The sequence below is a fragment of the Homo sapiens genome, chromosome 13 (assembly GCF_000001405.40).
Source record: "Homo sapiens chromosome 13, GRCh38.p14 Primary Assembly".
Taxonomy (NCBI): Eukaryota; Metazoa; Chordata; class Mammalia; order Primates; family Hominidae; genus Homo; species Homo sapiens.
In genome coordinates, this window is record NC_000013.11 from 112,661,698 (window position 1) to 112,684,974 (window position 23,277).

Here is a 23,277-nt window from a genome sequence, read left to right on the forward strand (position 1 = left end):
GTAATTCTATTTTTAATTTTTTGAGGAACCTCTATACTGTTTTCCATAATAGCTATACATTCCCACCAGCAGTGCACAAGAGTTCCTTTTTCTCCACATCCTCGTCAACACTTATTATCTCTTGTCTTTCCAATAACAGCCATTCTAACAGGAATGAGGTAATGTCTTCTCGTATTTTGATTTGCATTTCCCTGATGATTAGTAATGTTGAGCATTTTTTCACATGCATGTTGGCCATTTATATGTTTTCTTTTGAAAAATGTCTGTTAAGGTCTTTTGCCCATTTTTACATCTGATTTTTTTTTTTTTTTTTTTGCTGTCGAGTTATTTGAGCTCCTTATGTATTCTGGATATTCATCACTTGTCAGATAGATTGTTTGCAAATATCTTCTCCCATTCTATATGTTGTCTTCACTCTGTTGCTTGTTTCCTTTGTTGTACAGACACTTTCTAGTTTGGTGTAATCAAAATTGTCTATTTTTGCTTTTGTTGCCTATGCTTTTGAGTCTTTTTCTTTTTTTTTTTTTTTGAGATGGAGTCTCACTCTGTTGCCCAGGCTGGAGTGCAGTGGCACGATCTCAGCTCACTGCAACCTCTGTCTCCTGGGTTCAAGCGATTTTCCTGCCTCAGCCTCCTAAGTAGCTGGGACTATAGGTGCATGCCACCACGCCCGGCTAATTTTTTGTATTTTTAGTAGAGACAGGGTTTCACCGTGTTAGTCAGGACGGTCTCGATCTCCTGACCACATGATTTCCCTGCCTCGGCCTCCCAAAGTGCTGGGATTACAGGCGTGAGCCACCGCACCCAGCGCTTTTGAGTCTTATTCAAAAAAATCCTTGTCTAGTCTAGTGTCATTAAGTATTTCTTCTATGTTTTCTTCTAATCATTTCATAGTTTTCTGTCTTACATTTAAGTCTTTAATCCATTTTGAGTTGATTTTTGTATATAGTGAAAAATAGGTGTCCAGTTTCATTCTTCGGCCTGTGGACATCCAATTTTCCCAGCACCATTGATTGAAAAGGCTATCTTTTCCTTAATGCGTGTTTTAGCATCTTTGGTCTGAGTGTTTGTTTTTATACCAATATCAGCTTTGTAGTATTATATTTCAAAGTCAGGTAGTGTGATGCCTCCAGCTTTATTTTTATTTAACGCAGGCTCACTTTGGCTATTCTGGGTATTTTATGAATGTGAACTTTATAATTTTTTTTTCTGTGAAAAATGTCATTGGCATAGGAATTGCATTGAATCTGTATATCACTTTGGGTAGTATGGACATTTTAATAATATTAATTCTTCTAATCCACGAACACAAGATATCTTTCCATTTATTTGTGTAAACTTCAATATTTTTCATCAATGTTTTATAGTTTTCAGTGTACAGATCTTTTACCTCCTTGGTTACATTTATTCCTAGGTATCTTTTTTTTTTAGTAGCTATTATGAATGGGATTGTTTTCTTGATTTCTTTTTCAGATACTTTGCTGTTAGTGTACAGAAGCATTACTAACTTGTTTAGGTTAATTTTGTATACTGCAACTTTACTAAATGTGTTTATTAGTTCGTGTTTTGGTAGAGTCCTCAGGGATATATATCAGTGATTGTGTTGCCTGCAAACAGGAACAATTTGAGTAAGTTCAGAAGCAATACTGTGCAAGAAGTGGAGAAAAAGGGTACAGTGGTACAAAGGGATACTAGAATTTTTTAAAACTCTGTATAGTTTGCATTTTTAAGTCATACAAAAATGCTTTCTGTTTAGGACAGGCACAGTGGCTCACGCCTGTAATCCCAGCACTTTGGGAGGCCAAGGCGGGCAGATCACTTGAGGTCAGGAGTTCGAGACCAGCCTCTCCAATATGGTGAAACCCCATCTCTACTAAAAATATAAAAATTAGCTGGGCATGGTGGTGTGCATCTGTGATCTCAGCTACTCAGGAGGCTGAGGCTGGAGAATTGCTTGAACCTGGGAGGTGGAGGTTGCAGTGAGGCAAAATCATGCCACTGCACTCCAGTCTGGGCGACAGAGCCAGACTCCATCAAAAAAAAAAAAAAAAAAAATGCAGGCCAGGCACGGTGGCTCATGCCTGCAATCCCAGCACTTTGGGAGGCTAAGGCAGGTGGATCACGAGGTCAGGAGTTCGAGACCAGCCTGGCCAGCTTGGTGAAACCCCGTCTCTACTAAAAATACAAAAAAAAAAAAAAAATTAGCTGGGCATGGTGGCTCATGCCTCTAGTCCCAGTTACTCAGAAGGCTGAGGCAGGAGAATCACCTGAACCCGGGAGGTAGAGGTTGTGGTGAGCCAAGATCACGTCATTGCACTCCGGCCTGGGCAACAAGAGCGAAACTCCGTCTCAGAAAAAAAAAAAAAGCTCTGTGTGTATATGTAAACTGGATGAGGTCTAGACTCAGAGAATTATAAGGTGCCTGTGCTCCTGCATGAAAGTCCTGGGTGACATTGAAGACACCTAAATGATAGCCGGCATCCCTGGCGCCACTCACTAAATGCCCTTCGACTACTGACAACAGAAATGCCTCGGTATGTTTCCAAAATGCTCCCGGGAGATGCCACCACCTCTGTTGAGAAGACTGACATCCGAGGGTGGAGAATCACTACTGCGAGAAGGAAAACAAAAGGTGTGTCCTTGAATGTGCTGCCGGAGCGTCCAGTGTCTCATAGGGCCCCACGTGTGGGACCCACCAAAGAGAAAGTGATAGGATATCTATGAGTCGATCTCGTCAATGTCCCCACCTTGAAAAGTACAATCCAATGTTGGAACCACTTCCCACCCACCTTCCTCTTCTTTCTCCTCAGCTAGGAAAAGAGGGTGGCGCAGGTCAGTGAGCCCAGGCCAACAGCACGCTCATCTCATCCCAGACAGCTTAGACTTGGCTGCTCACAGCACCATCCACTCCAGTGGCAGCAGCATTACCCAGACATGTTTTAGAACCACGGAATATCAGGCTCTGCCCCAGACTCACTGCATTGGAATCTGTCTTTGCACAACATCTCCTGGTGATTCTGTGCACGTGGAGCGTGAGAAGCACTGCCTTAGAAGAGTCAAATGAGGAGCTACCTTCCTCCTGTGGCAGATGGAGTGAACCCTGATCATCGTTGCTCAAGACGTCCCAGCAGTTAACAAACAGGACACTCTGTTGCATCCCACATCTGGTGGGTTCTCCCTGATAACAAGGCTGAGCGAAGTTCCATCCCACATGGAACCGCCAGGTGTGGTTCTGCATGCATTCTGGCCACTCGCAGCTGGGGCGTCGTCAGGGGCGTGCTGCTTACGTGAACACGGATGTGCTCCCCACCCTGTACATCCTTGGCCTGCAGGAACTTGGTGAACCTGCATCGTTGGCAGAGCTGCGTGTGCACCACCTCCCTCCAGGTTGGGCTGGGTTGCAGGCTGCTCCCTTTCCCTGCACGGGGCCGTGCTCTGCGCTCAGCGCTTCTCCTGGAAGCCTCGCCAAGCCTGCCTCTGCTGCAGCAGGTGCTTTTCTGGTGGCTTCTGCATCACAGGCTTCCCCTGTGATTCTCCTCCAGTGTCTACTGCTGAGTTAAGAGAAGAAATGTTTCTCAATTCTTTCTTCCCAGGTTTAATGTTTCTTCCTGATGTTTGCAGTTTACCAGCTGCCCTGGTCAGATGAAGCAAGTATCACGGCACTAATAAAAGGGTTGTGCTTTATCCTTAAAAATATAATTACAAGTCCCACATATTTTCTTTTTCAGCCTTTACCAAGTAAGTAAGCTTTCCCCGTATGCCCACCATTCGATGCTCCAGTTCTTCCCTAGTGGCAGATGTAACCCAGGTATCATCTGTGGTCTCCCTGCCCTTTGAAATTGCTGAGAAAACTGGGCTCAACCCCCTTTCTATCTTGCTGTTTCCTTCTCCAGATTCAGAAAAACTCTGACAGCTGAGTAAAGCAAGGCAGCTTGTGTATGTGGGTGCGAGAGGAAGCGTGTGAGTGAATGCAGGCCTGTGTGCAAGTGCACTCATGAGTGTGTGTGTAAGGATGTGTGTGTCCGTGTGTGTAAGGGTGTGTGTGTAAGGATGTGTGTGTCCATGTGTGTGTAAGGATGTGTGTCCGTGTGCATAAGGATGTGTGTGTCCATTGTGAGTGTGTGGGAGTGCGTAAGGATATGTGTGTCCATGTGAGTGTGCGGGAGTGTGTAAGGATGTGTGTGCATGTGTGAGTGTGCGGGAGTGTGTAAGAATGTGTGTCCATGTGAGTGTGTGGGAGTGTAAGGATGTGTGTGTCCATGTGTGAGTGTGTGGGAGGCATAAGGATATGTGTGTCCCTGTTTGAGTGTCTGGGAGTGCATAAGGATGTGTGTGTCCATGTGAGTGTGTGGGAGTGTGTAAGGCTGTGTGTGTCCATGTGTGTGTGTGGGAGTGTGTAAGGATGTGTGTGCCTGTGTGTGGGAGTGTGTAAGGATGTGTGTCTATGTGTGAGTCTGGGAGTGTGTAAGGCTGTGTGTGTCCATGTGTGAGTGTGCGGGAGTGCGTAAGGATGTGTGTGTCCATGTGTGAGTGTGCGGGAGTGTGTAAGGATGTGTGTCCATGTGTGAGTGTGCGGGAGTGCGTAAGGATGTGTATGTCCGTGTGTGTGTGGGAGTGCATAAGAATGTGTGTGTGTCCATGTGTGAGTGTGCAGGAGTGCATAAGGCTGTGTGTGTTTCCATGTGTGGGTGTGCGGGAGTGTGTAAAGATGTGTGTGTCCGTGTGTGTGGGAGTGTAAGGATGTGTGTGTCCATGTGTGAGTGTGTGGGAGTGCATAAGGATATGTGTGTCCCTGTGTGTCTGGGAGTGCATAAAGATGTGTGTGTCCATGTGAGTGTGTGGGAGTGTGTAAGGATGTGTGTCCGTGTGTGTGGGAATAAGGATGTGTGTGCAGGAGTGTGTAAGGATGTCTGTGTCCATGTGTGAGTGTGTGGGAGTAAGGATATGTGTGTGTCCATGTGTGAGTGTGCGGGAGTGCATAAGGATGTGTATGTCCATGTGTGAGTGTGCGGGAGTGCATAAGGATGTGTATGTCCATGTGTGAGTGTGCGGGAGTGCATAAGGATGTGTATGTCCGTGTGTGTGTGTGGGAGTGCATAAGGATGTGTGTGTGTCCATGTGTGAGTGTGCAGGAGTGCATAAGGCTGTGTGTGTGTCCATGTGTGGGTTTGTGGGAGTGTATAAGGATGTGTGTGTCCGTGTGAGTGTGTGGGAGCACGTGAGGATGTGTGTGTCCGTGTGTGAGTGTGTGGGAGCACGTGAGGATGTCTGTGTCCGTGTGTGTGTAAGGATGTGTCTGCGTCTATGTGTGAGTGTGTGGGAGTGCATGAGGATGTGTGTATGTCCAGAGCTGTCCAGACCTCTGTTCTGGGGGGGAAAGTGCTGAGATCAGAAGCAAATCAAGCAGGATAGAGACACTAAGAGCAAAGGAAAGGAAAGCCCAGACCACAGTGAGGGAGAACAGAGGAGGCTCATCTCAGAAAGCACGAGGCCATCTTTTCATTCACTTTGTGGACACAACAGAAGTAACAGAAGATGGACCTCTCTGCCAGCAAGTTAGATAACTTAGGTAAAATGAGCCAGTTCCTAGAAAAACAGAAACTGCTAAAAGAGACTCAAAAAGAAATGAAAAATCAAGTAGACTAACAACAAACAGAGGTTTAATTAGTAATTAAAACTTTTCTGCAAAGAAAAGCCCAGGCCCACATGGCTTAACTTGTAAATTCTACCAAACACTTGAAGAAGAATACCAACCTTCACAAATTCTTTCAAAAAGAAAGAAAGAAAGAAAATAGAAGAGGAAGAAACACATTCTAACTCATCCAATGAGATCAGTATCATCCTAACACCAAAATCAGACTGACTTGTGATCAAAGGAAGAGAAAACTACAGGCCAATATCCTCATTGAATATCAGTGCAAAATCCTCAAAAAAATACTGGCAAACCAAATCCAGCAACATCGAAAAGCATTATACAACACAGCCGAGTGGGATTTATCTCAAGAATGCAAGGGCAGTTCAATACGCGAAAATCAACGTAACACAACACTTCCAAAGAGTACGGGACAAAAACCACGTAGTCATCTCAATAGGCACAGAAAGAGCATTTGAGAAAATCCAACACCCCTTCAGAATAAAGCGCCTAAAAAACTGGGAATAGAAGAGAACTTCCTCAGCCCCGCAAGGGGCATCTACAGACAAGCCACAGTTATAGACAAGAATCTGAACGCTTTCCCTGTAGCTCAGGAGCAGAAGGAGGAGGTCTGCTCTCCTGTTTCTATTTAATGTTGTAATGGAGGCTCTAGATAAAACAGTTAGTACAGAATAAGAAGAGAACGAAAGACAGAAAGAGAGAAAGAAAGGCAAGGTCTCCATGCTGGAAATGAAGAAATGAAATTATCTCTGTCTGAAATTTCATGAGAACAGTGCAGACCGAGGCAGGGTGGGCGCAGTCGAAGTGGAGCAGGGTTGGCCAGGAGCTGATAATGATGGATGAACTTTTCCTCTAATTTTTTACATGCTTAAAATTTTATGCAACCTTTGGCCAGGTGCAGTGGCTCACACCTGTAATCCCAGCACTTTGGGAGGCCGAGGCAGATCACCTGAGGTCAGGAGTTCGAGATCAGCCCAGCCAACATGGCAAAACCCTGTCTCTACTAAAAATACAAAAATTAGTCCAGCATGGTGGTGCATAACACCCGTAATCCCAGCTACTTGGGAGGCTGAGGCAGGAGAATCGCTTGAACCTGGGAGGCAGAGGTTGCAGTGAGCCGAGATCACGCCACTGCACTCCAGTCTGGGCAACAGAGTGAGATTCTGTCTCAAAAAAAAAAAATTATGTAACTTTTAAATAAAATTTAATATTGGAAGATGTTTTTAGAGGAGTAATACACATTATCAGAAAATTCAGAGATTTCTAAATCAAAAGAGAAACCATGCCACCTTTTCCTTGTTCTTTTTGAGGCAGGTTAGCCCCAGTTCATGATTGGGGTCTAAAGCTATTGGTAAATTTTACACAAATCAGAACCCATTAACTTTTCATTTAATCCAAGTCTATCACAAAACATCTAGTGAAATATTTACTGATTTTATTTTATTAATAGGGAAAAACCCAACAGTCCGCGCTCATAACAAACAGGTATGTAGAGATGTAAGTTGTTGCCACCGTTTTCCCTGTCATTCTTCCTTACGGAACATAAATAATTCACAAATCCAGTCCCTCTCCTCTTCCCCTAATTAACCTGTAATTAACCCAATGAATTCTTTAAGAACTCGGTTCCGATGTCACTCTCCTGGGGATTGGCTTCCCAGCGCTTCCTGGCTGGGTCTCAAGCCTCTGCCACACGTAGGAGGCTCCGTCACTTTTCCCCAGCGTCTAACTCAGGGGGTTGCCGCAGGCTCCTTTGTAAGATCAGGGGCCACGGTGGGGCTCCCTCACCAGCCTGCATCGTCCTTACTCGGCCAAGGGCTGTGCCTGGCACACACAGGACAGGGGATGAGCCTGGCAGGGCTGAGTGAGAAGATGTGAGAAGGGACAGATGAAGAGACAAACGAACTCACATTGTTACTCGCCAATGCCTCACCCATCGTTATTGTACACCACACAATCTACAAAAAGGAAGTTTCCATGTTTTTCAGTATCTTCTCTATTCCTTTATAAAGTACATCAAACTTAGCCATTTAAACTTATTTATTTGGTTTATGATCCCTCTGTTTTTAATCTTTTAATATTTCCATATACTCAATAGGATACTTCCCTTTGATCATTTTATATTTTTATCCAAGTAAAATTCTAGGCCAGGCATGGTGGCTCACACCTGTAATCCCAGCACTTTGGGAGGCTGAGGCAGGCCAATTACCTGAGGTCAGGAGTTCGATACCAGCCTGACTAACATGGCGAAACCCCATCTCTATTAAAAATACAAAAATTAGCCAGGCGTGGTGGTGGGTTCCTGTAATCCCAACTACTCAGGAGGCTGAGGCAGGAGAATCTCTGGAACCCGAGACCGTGCCATTGCACTGCAGCTTGGGTGACAGAGTGAGACTCCGTGTCAAAAAAAAAAAAAAAAGTAAAATTCTACTTGGCCAGAACTATTATTAGGTTTTTTTTTAATGTCATGGTGTAATTAATTAATTTAATTGGCCCCTTCCAAAAGGAAGCTTATTAAAACATTTAATAGAACCTTAAAGAAAATCCTCACTTGTTGTATTTATTTTGTTAAATTGGTTCGAGTTTAAGAAATCCTCATTGAAGCTTTACTTTCCTTACAGAATGTCAGTAAATTTACCAGGAAAAAACACTTGTACTGTCATTATGTGAGTGAGCCCCAGAAGATGAGGATGCTGCATAATTAATGCCTCCAGCTCTTAACATATGCAGCCATCTGTGCTCTCCCCTACGCAGTCTGCTGGTTTGTTAATAATGTATTCACGTTTGTCTGCAGCCCATACGAGTTGTATGACAGGAGAGATCAGAAAACACAATCCATTTCACGCAGTCTAAGTTACCGGTCGGGTGTGGAGAACAGGTCAGTTTATTATTAACTGTAGTTTCAGGTGAGAGTGACATGACTCAAAACAATGTGACCAAACTAGGAGAAGAACATGAAATCCACGCTCATACAGACAGTGCAGAGGCCAGCAGCCCAGGCTGGAAGTCCTGAGGATCCCAGCCTCCATCCAGCTCACCTTGCTTTGAAGACAGCGCCACCACTGTCCCAGCTCCCAGTGACATGAGAGTGGATGGGGTCACCCTGGCTCCTGCCTGGGTGCCCTTGTTCTACCCCGGCCTCTGCTGCATTTCTTGGGTAATTCACTCTCCTTCCAGGCTCCTGTCAGAGAAGGCCCTGGTGCTGTCATTGCCAAGTTTTTTCTTTTCTTTTTTTTTTTTTTGAGACAAGAGTCTCGCTCTGTCACCCAGGCTGGAGTGTAGTGGCACGATCTAGGCTCACTGCAACCTCCGCTTCATGGGTTCAAGCGATTCTCCTGCCTCAGCCTCCCAAGTAGCTGAGATTACAGGCACGCACCACCATGCCCAGCTCATTTTGTATTTTTAGTAGAGACAGGGTTTCACCATGTTGGCCAGGCTGGTCTCGAACTCCTGACCTTAGGTGATCCACCCGCCTCGGCCTCCCAAAGTGCTGGGATCACAGGAGTGAGCCACTGCACCCAGCCCCCTGAATGTAGTCTTAATAGATTAACAGTCCTCGTTCCCAGATCAGATAGGAGAGCAGCAAGACCGGGTCCAAGTTGCCCTGTGCTGTGAGGAGAAGCCATGATTGCTCCACTGAGGCTGAGAGACGACCTTGGAGTGGAGAGGGTTAGAGGGCAGGCCAAGGGTTGTCGGGTCACAGTAAGAAGTGAAGCTGGCACGATTCCAGTTGCCGTCAACTCCCTGCTGGGATGTAATCTGCATGCAGGTTGGAGTCATCAGAAACCAGAACATTCTCTGACAGAAAACAGGGAAACCACAGAGCACCCGTCTTGTTGACAGTGCTGTCCAGGGCTCGCTCCTGAAGAGGCTGTGAGATCCGGGGGTGCATGTGATCTTCTGGCTGGGGAGGTACCAAGGCCACAGACCCCGATACCTGTGCGGAACCATGTACTCCCCGCCCAGGCTTGGTGCGCTGGAGGGAATGAAAATAAAGAACCTCTTAAAATTTAGTTGGAGAAATAATAAAATATCATTTTCCATAGTCAAACAGAATAGGAAGAAATAATAGCAAATACTCCTCTGACACCGTTTCGAGAGCATTGTGTATAGGAATTCATGCAATCCCACCGTCATCCAGTGAGGCGAGGACTGTCATTGTCCCTGTTTCACAGACAAGGGGCCGCGGGCTCCTCTAGCTTTCCCATGCCTCACAGCTGGTACATGCAAACCCAGGGCTTGAGCCCCAGCAGTGTGGCTCAGGTCTGCGGCACTGACCCATGTCCAAGTCGTTATGTGCACAAGGGATGCTACAGATGTTTATGAGACACACGTGGCGGTGGCTGTTATACATTATCACTGGAGAGCTGAATCCATCAGGGGTCCCAGTTATAAGCAACTGAAACAAATCATGCTATTGCTTTTTTTTTTTTTTTTTATGGAGACAGAGTCTCACTCTGTCGCCCAGGCTGGAGTGCAGTGGTGCAATCTTGGCTCACTGCAACCTCCGCCTCCGGGGTTCAAACGATTCTCCTGCCTCAACCTCCCGAGTAGCTGGGACTACAGGCGCCTGCCACCACGCCAGCTGATTTTTGTATTTTTAGTAGAGATGGGGTTTCATCATGTTGGCCAGGCTGGTCTCAAACTCCTGACTTCAGGTGATCTGCCCATCTTGGCCTCCCAAAGTGCTGGGATTACAGGTGTGAGCTACTGCGCCCGGCCAAATCATGCTATCTAAGAGTCAGAGGGAATTAACTGAAAGGATACAGGAGCTCAAAGAATTGAAGGAGGCCAGAAAGCCAGGATTAGAAATGGCTCCGAAAATTACCAAGAGAGGTGGAGGGGCCGGAGCTGCAGGCAAGTCTGGCTGTCTGAGCTGCAATCATTCCTTTGGGTCCCTGGTCCAAGAATAACATCCGTGCGCTTTGGTCTAACACCACGCACTGGCTGTCCCAGGGAACAGAAAGAGGAGCCTCTCTCCTCACATTCCTTGTAGTCGAAGACCATACTTTGCCCGTTCCACACCAAATGGTCCCCTCCCGTATCAGGTGCCGAAGAAGGGGTGCGTGAGGGAGAGCCGCTCACCTGAAGCAGTAAGGGGCGAGTGGCTGTTGGAACGATCCTCCATCTGAGGCCATGCACAGTGGCACCTCCAGGAGGGAGAGCAAGGCTTTAGAGGCAGGCACGGGTGCCTGCTGGGAAAAATGGAAGCCCAGAAACCATCCCACATCCCCCAGCAGGCCCCACCAAGAGGAGGAAGCTGAGTCCAGCCTCCACAGGCAGAGGGAACGTGATACACAGTTGACGTGTCAGGGGAGCAGCTGGGGTGAACAGGGAGGGCATGGAAGACACCAAGAGACGTGTCCCAGTGCCCCACAGCCTGGGGGGCTCACACCTGCAACAGGGATGACTGTCAGGGTGGGGCTTTGCAAAAAACGGTGGCAACGTGAACGTCCCTCCACCAAAGGAATTCACAAAAGCAGTGCAAGAGGCCATCATAGCATCAGAGAATTACAGTTCTAGCCCTCTCTCTAGCAGAGAAGGCCACACCATGTGCCACAGGATACCTGTCTTTGTTTCTTTCTCTCTTTTTTTTTTCTTTTGAGATGGAGTCTCTTTCTTTCTTTCTTTCTCCCTTTCTTTCCTTTCTCTCTCTTTCTTTCTCCTTTTTGAGATGGAATTTCTTTTTCTTTCTTTCTCTCTCTTTCCTTTCTCTTTCTCTTTTTCTTTCTTTCTCCTTTTTGAGATGGACTTTCGTTCCTTCTTTCTTGCTTGCTTTTTTCTTTCTTTCTCCTTTTTGAGATGGAGTTTCCTTCCTTCCTTCCTTCCTTCCTTCCTTCCTTTCTTCCTTCCTTCCTTCCCTCCTTCCTTCTTTCTTTCTTCTTTTTTGAGACAGAGTCTTGCTCTGTCGCTCAGGCTGGAGTGCAGTGGCGCAATCTCGACTCACTGCAACCTCCACCTGCCGGGTTCAAGCTATTCTCCTGTCTCAGCCTCTGGAGTAGCTGGGATTACAGGCACCCGCCACCATGCCCAGCTAATTTTTCTATTTTTAGTACAAACGGGGTTCACCATGTTGCGCAGGCTAGTCTCAAACTTCTGAGCTCTGGTGATCTGCCCGCCTTGGCCTCCCAAAGTGCTGGGATTACAGGCGTGAGTCACCGCGCCCGGCGCCTGTATTAGTTTCTTTTTGCTGTATAGCAAATGATCCCAGGTTTAGGTGCTTAAAACCACACACGTTTCTCACTCTTCGTTTCCATGGGTCAAGAGTCTGCATGTGACCAGCTGGGTCCTCTCATCGGGGCCTCACAAGGCTGAAGTCAAGGTGCTGCTGGGGCCAGGTGCTCATCCGAAGGTCAAGGTCACCTTCAAGCTTACTGGCTGTTGGCAGCATCCAGGTCCTTGTGCTTGTGGGATTGAGGCCCCTGTTTCCTGCTGCTGCCTGCTGGGAACTGCTCTCAGTTACTAGAGGCCCCTCTGCTCCCTCTCATGTGGCTCTCCACAAAGCACGGCAGTTTCCTCCCTCAAGGCCAACAGGAGCATATCTCTGCAGCCTCAAATCGCTCTAACTTTCCCTATCTTTTATCCAGGTCCACCCAAGATAACCCTCCCTTTGACTAGCTCAAAATTGACTGATTAGGGATCTTAATTCCACTGCAGAATTCCTTCATATTTACAAGAGAATGTAGCCTGATCAGGGGAGAAACATCAGCCTCCGTTCCCACCAAGGAGAGGGGACTGCACGGAGCCCCCGAGCATGGGGTGGGAACATTGTGAGCCCTATCAGAACTGTGCCTCCCGAAGTCCCAGAGACAGAAGCGGCTCAGGAATGAGGGGAGCACGGCAGCACTGAGTCTACAGGGTGGATGCGGTTTGCCCAGCACGGAAGGAAGATGTTCCAGGGGGATGAGACAGCAATGCTGAGAAAGGAAGGAAATCTGGGTAAATATGTAGAGGTTGGCCACATTATGATAGACTGTGACGACCAGTTGGAGAATTTTGTATTTCATGCTATAAAAAGCAACCAAATCTAGTTAATATACGCTAAGTTGGGTAACAGGATCAGATTCTTTACAGTAAAGCTTACAAAAGTAAAATTATTTTATAATTGTATTATAGCAAACAACAGGGTTTAAAAATGGTCCCTTAAAAATGAGCCTTAAAAATAAGCAGCCACTTAATACTCATTTGGGCCTGAAAGCCACAAAGCTATTGACATTTTCTTTCTGCTGAGGAAGTCTTGGTGGTATCGATTCTCATACAGCAGAGATCAAGACAAACATCTTGTACCTCCTCTTCCCCACCTGCCTCTAAAGCAAACGCTGATCTGATGACATTGTCATGAGGCCTGCTCACCCTCAGCAGCTTCCTAGTGTGTCCTGGGTGTGGGCATCCAGTGCCAATAAATGGAGGAAAATGGGCAGACAGGGAGAGGTGGGAGCAGGTGGGAGGAAAGGAAGGGGGGAGGGAGGGAGGCGGAGAAAGGCAAGCTTAAGGGAAAGGTGGGGCATCCTGTCATGCTAGGGTTCACGGAGTGGCAAGAGGTTCCCAGCCCTGCCCGCCGCTGACCCCGGCTCACATGGCCTCACCAGCCTCGCATCAGTCATGGTTCCAAGTCCTCAGGAATAACAACAACAACAAGAGTTAATTTTTTTTATTTTTCCATTGTAATTTATATGGAATTCTGAACAATGGAAAATCAGAGCCCAAACAGGTGACAAAGAAGTTCATTAAGAGCCTTGCGAAACTGAGAGCACATCCAGAATCCCTCTCGCACTTATATCTGTGAAAGACACGACCTCTGGCCAGTCTCCCACAGACACTCCCCATTCCCTATCACGCAATGTGATGTACTCACTGCGACCGCAGGCCTGCTCCTGCTTCCCATCACTTCACCCGTCCTGTTCAGCAGATGCTCCCCTTGAAGAGCTGGAAAAAATTGGTGTTTAGGAAAGGCCTTGAAGATAGAAATGAATGCAAATGCTGTTATTATTATTAATAATATTTCAAAGTGGGCACACGGAACTCGATGACATTTTAATTGTTTGATTTTATTGGACAGGAGGCAAAAGACTTTTTATTTTTATCTTCAAAGTCTAAAGGCGCGTCAGGTGCACAGACTGCAGTAGGGTTTGCTCTGGGTGTTGGGTTCTGGCTGACGATGTTTGCTCAAAAGCTCATTTCTTACAGCTTCTGAAAGTAGATTGAAGAAAGCGCTCCCCACCGTAGCCTCCGTGGTGCAGAGATTCTCCAGGCATTTGCTTGTCATGTGAGATGTTACACTAACCCAAGCACTATAATTTTACTACCTCCTGCTAAGCTAGTCCAGAGATTGATCATTTCTATCCAGAACTGGCAAGCCTCCCTTCCTTTATATTTCAGATTGAAGAACAGGAGAAAAAACTTTCAGAAAATGATTTATAGTGGAAAGGTACTGGTTTAAACTTAACCTACTTGCTATTTGAAACAAGTTCTTTTAATTAAAGTGAAATTCTCTGTGTAAAACATCATTTTAAGAAATTTTCATAATGCATTTTGCTTTTTTAAAGTCTTGTATTTAGTAAAATGCAAAAAGTCTAGTCCTTCTGAAGACTCCCTCATAACATCTCCTCACACACCCACTTGCACTCACACCTCCAATCCAAAGGTTCATGGGGATACTTTGTTATCTAATTTTGTTGTCAATGTGATTCATAGGTTTTTGGTTTTGCTATCTAGTTGTTCTGTTTTAATTTTGGGATTTAGAAAGATTAAACACTATGCCACCACCACGTTTCACTTTGAACATTTTGAAGACAAATATTTCCTACCTGTGACTAACATATCCAGCCAAATTATCCATCACTATAAGGTCAGAAAAATATTTTAACTGCTGATGTTTCATGCACCCTTTCCCAGGAAGCTACTAGAGAATACAGTCCACTAAATTAAACCGATAAATCAAGGAGGAAGAAAAAATCATGGAATGCAGAAAATAAGGGCTTATGAGAGAAGTGGAGGGAATTCCTGATACCTGTGAAGTGTAGCCAGAGTATAGAAGTATGCAGCAAGTTTAGAAACTCACCGTCGATTGCAGCAGGATGCCAAAGGGTGGCAGGAGGGATGTCTCCAGAAAAAAATAGAATGGCACTGACAAATACGAGTGTATGGCTGTGACCGGAGTATAGAAGTATGCAGCAAGTTTAGAAAGTCACCGTCAATTGCAGCAGGATGCCAAAGGGTGACAGGAGGGATGTCTCCAGAAAAAAATAGAATGGCACTGACAAATACGAGTGTATGGCTGTGACCGGAGTATAGAAGTATGCAGCAAGTTTAGAAAGTCACCGTCAGATTGCAGCAGGATGTCAAAGGGTGACAGGAGGGATGTCTGCAGAAAAAAAATAGAATGGCACTGACAAATACGAGCGTATGGCCGTGAACTAGTAGAAACTATACAGAAAGCTAAGAAAATGAGGCCGGGCACAGTGGCTCACACCTGTAATCCCAGCACTTTGGGAGGCCGAGGCAGGAGGATCACTTGAGGTTAGGAGTTCGAGACCAGCCTGGCCAACATGGTGAAACCCCGTCTCTACTAAAAATACAAAAATTAACCAGGCATGGTGGCGGGCCCCTGTAATCCCAGCTACTTGGGAGGCTGAGGCAGGAGGATCGTTTGAACCAGGGAGGCGGAGGTTGCAGTGAGCTGAGATTGTGCCACTGCACTCCAGCCTAGACAACAAAGTGAGACTCTGTCTCAAAAAAAAAAAAAAAAAAAAAAAGAAACCTAAGAAAATGAAAGATGGAGGCAATGATTATCTTCAAGGAAAAAAGGTGGTATAAGAAAGAAGATGCAGTGAAAATGCATGAACAACACAGGGGCAGCGTGTAGCACATGCACGGACATGCAGCTATGAGAATGTAATCTTGTTACCATCACAGGCAGAGATTGAATGGAGACCGGTGTGGCCTCTGTGGGGACACGTGCAGTAGAGAGAGGTAGAGGTAGGAGCACGAATGAGCTAAATATTTATCTTCCTATGTAACTGGTGCTGTTGAAATTTTCAAAATCATGCTATAAGCACATAATTTGGAAATATGGACACAATAAAGGTAGAAGAGCAAAGAGCTATGAGTGATTGTCTCTGCAGGGGGCTCTGGAGTAGGTGATGACAAGGACATCGGGTTATTCTTACAGGCCGGGTAGCACCATTTTCTTTTAAAACTATGCAAATGCAGCCAGGCGCACTGGCTCATGCCTGTAATCTCAGCACTTTGAGAGCCGGAGGCATGTGGATCACCTGAGGTCAGGAGTTTGAGACCAGCCTGACAACATGGTGAAACCCTGTCTCTACTAAAAATATAAAAATTAGCTGGGTGTGGTGGTGGCGCATGCCTGTAATCCCAGCTACTCTAGAGGCTGAGGCAGGAGAATCACTTAAACCCGGGAAGCAGAGGTTGCAGTGAGTCAAGATCACGCTGCTGCATTCCAGCCTGAGCGACAGAGCAAGACTCCAACTCAAAAAAAAAAAAAGCATTTCTTTGGCTAAAATTAAAATAAAGTTGTTTTTTTTAATTTTAATTTTAATTTTAATTTTTATTTTTTAGTATTTATTGATCATTCTTGGGTGTTTCTCGGAGAGGGGGATTTGGCAGGGTCACAGGACAATAGTGGAGGGAAGGTCAGCAGATAAACATGTGAACAAAGGTCTCTGGTTTTCCTAGGCAGAGGACCCTGCGGCCTTCCGCAGTGTTTGTGTCCCTGGGTACTTGAGATTAGGGATTGGTGATGACTCTTAACGAGCATGCTGCCTTCAAGCATCTGTTTAACAAAGCACATCTTGCACCGCCCTTAAGCCATTTAACCCTGAGTGGACACAGCACATGTTTCAGAGAGCACAGGGTTGGGGGTAAGGTCACAGATCAACAGGATCCCACGGCAGAAGAATTTTTCTTAGTACAGAACAAAATGGAGTCTCCTATGTCTACTTCTTTCTACACAGACACAGTAACAATCTGATCTCTCTTTCTTTTCCCCACATTTCCCCCTTTTCTATTCGACAAAACCGCCATCGTCATCATGGCCCGTTCTCAATGAGCTGTTGGGTACACCTCCCAGACGGGGTGGCGGCCGGGCAGAGGGGCTCCTCACTTCCCAGACGGGGAGGCCGGGCGGAGGGGCTCCTCACTTCTGGGACAGGGTGGCCGGGCAGAGACACTCCTCACCTCCCAGACGGGGTGGCAGTTGGGCAGAGACACTCCTCAGATCCCAGACGGGGTCGCGGCCGGGCAGAGACGCTCCTCACTTCCCAGACGGGGTGGCGGCCGGGCAGAGGCTGCAATCTCGGCACTTTGGGAGGCCAAGGCAGGCGGCTGGGAGGTGGAGGTTGTAGCGAGCCGAGATCACGCCACTGCACTCCAGCCTGGGCACCATTGAGCACTGAGTGAACGAGACTCCGTCTGCAATCCCGGCACTTCGGGAGGCCGAGGCGGCAGATCACTCGCGGTCAGGAGCTGGAGACCGGCCCGGCCAACACGGCGAAATCCCGTCTCCACCAAAAATACAAAAACCAGTCAGGCGTGGCGGCGGCGCCTGCAATCCCAGGCACTCGGCAGGCTGAGGCAGGAGAATCAGGCAGGGAGGTTGCCGTGAGCCGAGATGGCGGCAGTACAGTCCAGCCTCGGCTCAGCATCAGAGGGAGACTGTGGAGGGAGAGGGAGAGGGAGACGGGAGAGAGGGACACGGGGGAGAGGGAGACGGGGGAGAGGGAGACCGGGGAGAGGGAGAGGGAGAGGTAAAGTTTTTACAAAGTTTCATTGTAATACAGAAAATAAACTCTTGGTGTACCCTTGTAGAATTACACAGAAGAAAACCAACCATTCGATGCCTTTCTTCTTCCATTCCCAATCAGAAGGTTGTTTCTGACCCATTGAAATATTACCTACAAAGAAGACGGGAGCCTCCTGCAGCAGCCTCTAGTGATCTGAGAGCTGAACCAAGGTTTGAGGCCCATCTCCAGGTGGTCCTGAATATCCGTGCATCCTGGGACCTTGTTAGGATGAACTCACCAGAGGCGAGGCTCTGCGTTGCTCAATGCAGAGACTCTTACCCAGGGTGTCAGCCTCTGAAAGATACACGTGCCTGGGCCTCTTCCCTGAAGATGGACCCGGCAGGTCTGGAGGGAGGCCCCCGTGATGAATCCCGTGATGAGCCGCCGATCCGAGCTCAGGCTGCGTCATGGGACCAGCCACAAGGTTGCCTGACCTATAAAGGTCGCAGGAGTGCCTCAGGGACACAGAAGCAGTTACAGCTGCCAGGTAGGGGCTGGGGAGGGCTCCGAGCTGTGGCTGCAATTTGAAAACTGTGCGGAACCTCAGCAGGGGTGTGAGCTATCAGGAACCTGCCGCTGGACTACAGCGACCAGGAGAATACGGGTTCTGTGCATCCGATGTGGGGGACCAAGCAGAAAGGAAAAACCCTTGCTGAGCAGACTGTGCATTGGGCAGCCTGCCGGCCACTTTATACAGATTCTGTCATTCAGCTGGGGTCTCTCTGCTCCCTGATACTAACCACACCCACCAGACCATCTTCCCTCCAGCTGGGGAAACGTGCCACAGAGCCCTTTACCTTCCAGAGCCTCGGCCCATCTGGCTCTCCTCATCACCCTGGGCCAGGCCCATCACTCCTGTTTCATGCTTGAAGGCAGTGAGGTGGGTGCCGGGCTCCCCTCTCCCACAGGGTGCCAGCGTCTCAGGTGGGACCAAGCCCAAGCCCGTTTGTCCTCGGTCCATGCACTTCTCAGCCCAGCCCTGCCTCTCAACACCTTCCACTGGATGGAGAGCCGCCGCAGTGCTTAATAAAGGGCAAGGGCGGAGACGCGTGGAAGGGGAGGACTCTCCCGGACCTGCTTAAACCTCTCTCCGTTTTTCCCAGACTGATGCTGCCAAGTGTGGAGGAACAGCAGGGGTGGGCGATGCCCTCCTCCCCTCCTGCATCTGCCCTGCTCACTGCAGCAAAGGGTGGGCGGGCCAGGGTCACAGGAGAGGTACCCTGGAGGCAAGACCAGTGCTCGTGGGCATGAGGAGTCATTGAGTGGTGGGGAAATGCAGGGCCCTGGGACCCAGGCCGGGAGCCACTGCCATCCTGCTTTCCACATCCACAGGAGGGCAGCAGGGCAGGAGAGTGTCCCGCCCTGGACCTGAAGGAAGAGATGGACCTGGGCCAGGGCCTTCTGTGGACAAGGTGGGGAAAGCCAGGGAGACCCAGCAGGACGGGTGAGAGGAGTGCGCTTGGGGAAGGTGGCCCCTAGTGCCCGGCCTCAGGCAAAGTCTTTCTCTGTGGATCCAAGAAGTAGGTGGCATGATTGTGCCCAGTTTACAGACAGGCAAGCAGGGGCCTCGGCAGGCTGAGGCATTGCTGCAGGATGCAATGGGCCCTCCCCTGACTGCACAGCTGATGTTCTCAATTCCCTCTTGTTCCATCTTAGCAAGATGGGCCTTGGAGGGAAGTGGGGGAGTGAGGGAGAAGCAGGTGTGTGCCAGAGACCAACAACACCCACTGTGGGTCCCAGCCGTCCTGAGGTGGGTCAGCCCAGCGGACCGCAGGGACCGGGCTGGGAATGGCCGTGATTAGGGGACAGGTGATCCAGCCACAAGCCTGTGGTGGCCTTGGGATCCAGCTGGCCCAGGGGTGATTCCTGCCTTCACTGTCTTCAAGCAGTGGGATTTTGGACTTAGGTTTCCTCATCAGAAAAACCGGAGCAGTGGAGCCCACCACTCGTGTTGCCATCCTTTTACAGAAGTGCACAAAGGTGGGTGTGAGATTCCTGGCACATGGCCAGGTCTCCAGCGCCAGCTTCCATCTCCTCCTTAAAGTTATCCAAGCTGAAGCATGTACCGGTGCAGCCTGTATCACGACATTCAACGTGGCGAGGTTGTGGGCTGCCAACACAACTACGGTGGCATCAGAGTTTTTCTTCACGTGTGTTACTAAGGCAGAAGTCGGTCTCGTCGATGTTGTTTTGTTTCTGTGGTTGTTTTGAGACAGGGTCTTGCTCTGTGGCCCAGGCTGGAGTGTAGTGGCGTGATCACAGCTCACTGCAGCCTCAACCTTCCAGGCTCAGGTGATCCTCCCACTTCAGCCTGCTTCGTAGCTGGTGCCACAGGTGTGAGCCACCACACCCAGCTAATTTTTTATTTTTTGTAGAGACCAGGGTCTTCCCATGCTGCCTAGGCTGGTTTCGAATTCCTGGGTTCAAGTGATCTGCCTGCCTCGGCCTTGCAAAGTGCTGGGATTTCAGATGTGAGCTACTGTGACTGGCTGTTTTTTTTTTTTTTTTTTTGAGACAGAGTCTCACTCTGTCGTCCAGGCTGGAATGCAGTGGGGTGATCTTGGCTCACTGCAACCTCTGCCTCTCAGGTTCAAAGCGATTCTCATGCCTCAGCCTCCTGAGTAGCTGGGATTACAGGCACATGCCACCACACCCGGCTAAAAATATATATATATATATGTACTTTTAGTATAGATGGGGTTTCACTATGTTGATCAGGCTGGTCTTGAACTCCTGACTGGTTTTGGGAGTCTTTCTTCTTCTTGAGCTCTGTCTTCTGAAGTGGAACTCAGAATAATTGAACATTAACATAAAAAGTTATCTCTAGGCCGGGCGCAGTGGCTCACGCCTGTAATCCTAGCACTTTGGGAGGCCAAGGCAGGTGGATCACGAGGTCAGGAGATCGAGACCATCCCGGCTAACACAGTGAAACCCCGTCTCTACTAAAAATACAAAAAATGAGCCGGGCGTGGTGGCGGGCACCTGTAGTCCCAGCTACTCGGGAGGCTGAGGCAGGAGAATGGCATGAACCTGGGAGACGGAGCTTGCAGTGAGCTGAGATTGTGCCACTGCACCCCAGCCTGGGCGACAGAGCAAGACTCCGTCTCAAAAAAAAAAAAGTTATCTCTGGTTCTGGAAACAGCATTTTTTTGTTGTTAACATACAATTGTTGTAACATACAATTTGCCATTTTAACCATTTTAAGTGCACAGTTCAGTGGCATGAAGTATTAGACACTCACATTGTTGTACAAGCACCACCATCCATTCCATGACTTTTACATCATCCCAAACTGAAACTCTGTGCCTATTAAATACTTACTGTCCAATCCTCCCTTACCCCAGCCCCTGTCAGGCCCCATTCTATTATACTTTCTGTCTCTATGGATTTTATATCTCTGGGGATCTCATATCAGTGTAATCTTACAATATTTGCCCCTTGAGTCTGGCTTCACTGAGCAGCATATATTCAAAACCATTTTTTTTCATACTTTTTTGGCTTTTTGAGTAGACTGAGATAATTTCCAGTTATCTAAGAATATTTAAGTATTCTTATAAGTTACAATAGATGAAAAATATTTTAAGGGAAACCATTTTATCTTTCTCTTTAAAAAAGTAAAGGGGTGGCCAGGCGCGGTGGCTCACACCTGTAATCCCAGCACTTTGGGAGGCCGAGGCACGTGGATCACGAGGTTAGGAATTCAAGACCAGCCTGGCCAACACGGTAAAACCCTGTCTCTACTAAAAATACAAAAATTAGCCAGGTGTGGTGGTGGGCGCCTGTAATCCCAGCTACTCGGGAGGCTGAGGCAGGAAAATTGCTTGAACCTGGGAGGCAGAGATTGCAGTGAGCCGAGATCGCATCATTGCACCCCATCCTGGGAACAGAGCAAGACTCTCTCTCAAAAAAAAAAAAAAAAAAAAAAAAAGCAAAGGGGTGAGTTTTCAGTTTTGTAGAAAGTAAACAGTTTAGTTTTACCTTTAAAAGTAAAAAGTTTGATTTTCATAAATTGAACATTCATTAAAGTGATGTTATGTAATATCCAAGCAACTTGCTTGACCAAAGGTACGAATTACTTTGAATAATGCTAAATTTCTAATTATCATCCACCTCTTATTTCAGATACCCTATCATCTTTACTCTGTTGGAGAGGAGCTATAATGGTCTATATTAAAGTTACTGTTCAGACAGATGATTCCAACAAATTGCTTTCATTACTTTATCGGTAATTTTAAGCACTACACAACTTAGTTGTTTTTTTCTGGAAGAAAACTGGAATTAAAATCATTGATCCTTTAGAGAAATAAAACAAAGGAGAAGGGAGTGTACAAAATAAATAAGAAAAGAATTCTTACCATACTTTCCTGTATTCTTACTGAGAAATAAAAATGGGACATTGAGAAGCAAAATTAATCCCGATTAGGCTCGCTTTGGGACAAGCAACCACTTTGCATGATTACCCATCGTTAGGTGTGAAACGGAGCCAATGATCGCTCATTGTCGAGGAGAAAAGACCTGGAGACCACGGCTTATCCAGTCTCGCTCCTGACCTGCATCTGAACACCTGAAGGAAGAAACTTTAACAAGAAAAAGACTTCAAGTGACAGAGGAGACAAAAGTCTCAAAGGTGCAGAATTCAAGAACTCATGGTGTCTCAGGATGGGTGTGAAAGTAACAAATATGAGATCCCCTGACAACTAAACCCAGGCATGTCCAGGAATCCCGGGATGCGGTGAAAGTTTTCACAGTGGAGCTCACAGGAATCCCCAGATGCCGTGAAAGTTTTCTCAGCGGAGCTCACACCAGCATTGTCTGGAATATTAAATGTTGTTATGCTTTGAGATTGGCACTTATGCCATTCAAATTTTTTTATTAAGAAGTACAATGAAATTTAACTTATTCCATTTTTGACACCAATGTAATGACCAAATTAAACTAGATTTTCAAAAATAATCAGAGGCCCTGCCCCACAAACTCCTCCTGGGCACAGGAAGATGTGGGGCCAGTCAGTAGTGACTCCTCTTGGGTGCTGATCCACCATGCTGAATTCAGACCGGCGCCAGTCCCCTGAGCGCCTCCCAATTCCTATGTGATTTCCTGTCCCTAGTATATGAACATGTCAGCCTTGATGTGATCACACAAATTATGGGCCATGACGCATCTACCACTCTTGCCTGTTCTGAAGGGCTGCCTTTAGTTGTCTTGCAAAGAGCACTTACACCTCTTCCCTACGGCACAGAAGCCCTGGGTCTGGGGTGACAGGGGCAGAGACCTGCCTGTCCTCCAGCCACCCAAGACCATGCTTCTGTCTGTAGGTTCCCCCAATAAAACACCCTTTACTGACAGATTTCATTGGTCTGGCTTATTCTTTGGTTTCTCAGCTCCTTCGGCGTTTGAGGGCCATGTTGCATATGTGGCCCTTTCCCGGAACAGGAGACAATGTTCTACGTCACGTTCCAGGACAAATGGCCTGGCAGAGCATGGCAGATGATCTCAGGGGGCGTTTGAGCAGGACCTCACTCTCCATAGCTCTCCTTCCCGGTGACAGGAGTCATGCGGGATAGATGGCCTTGCACGGGGCACTTTTCACTCTGCGAGTGCTCACGCCTTATGCTCTTCATTTTGTTAGTGCTCGTCAGCTAAAATAGCAGGTTAACTAATTCTTTCAGCATCTGCTGAGCACCACGCTATGCCTGAGGAGAGAAAGGTCGATAACTGATGATAACTGATCATCCAACAGGTTCACGTTCAGGTGGGAGACAGACATTGAGATGAACGACTCAGAAACCTGCTACACTGGGAGCTTTTACAAAAGCTTGGACC

At 47.4% G+C, this 23,277-nt stretch overlaps 1 long non-coding RNA gene across 1 annotated transcript in view, besides 1 other annotated feature; it reads left to right on the top strand.

Moving 5' to 3' along the window:
• ATP11AUN (ATP11A upstream neighbor lncRNA) overlaps nucleotides 1-22,800 on the top strand; it is a 37,454-nt gene extending 14,654 nt beyond the window's left edge. The window contains exons 2-3 of the long non-coding RNA NR_164109.1: nucleotides 17,480-17,941; nucleotides 21,577-22,800. This is a non-coding gene — a long non-coding RNA (ATP11A upstream neighbor lncRNA). The remainder of the gene's footprint in view (nucleotides 1-17,479; nucleotides 17,942-21,576) is intronic.
• Nucleotides 7,218-7,512: a silencer, noted in NCBI's record as "tiled region #9322; HepG2 Repressive non-DNase unmatched - State 21:Repr, and K562 Repressive non-DNase unmatched - State 21:Repr". NCBI's record gives its function as "represses a minimal TATA promoter and a strong SV40 promoter by Sharpr-MPRA in HepG2 and K562 cells {active_cell/tissue: HepG2 | K562}" and the evidence as "EXISTENCE:reporter gene assay evidence [ECO:0000049][PMID:27701403]".
• Nucleotides 22,801-23,277: the final 477 nt, after the last annotated feature.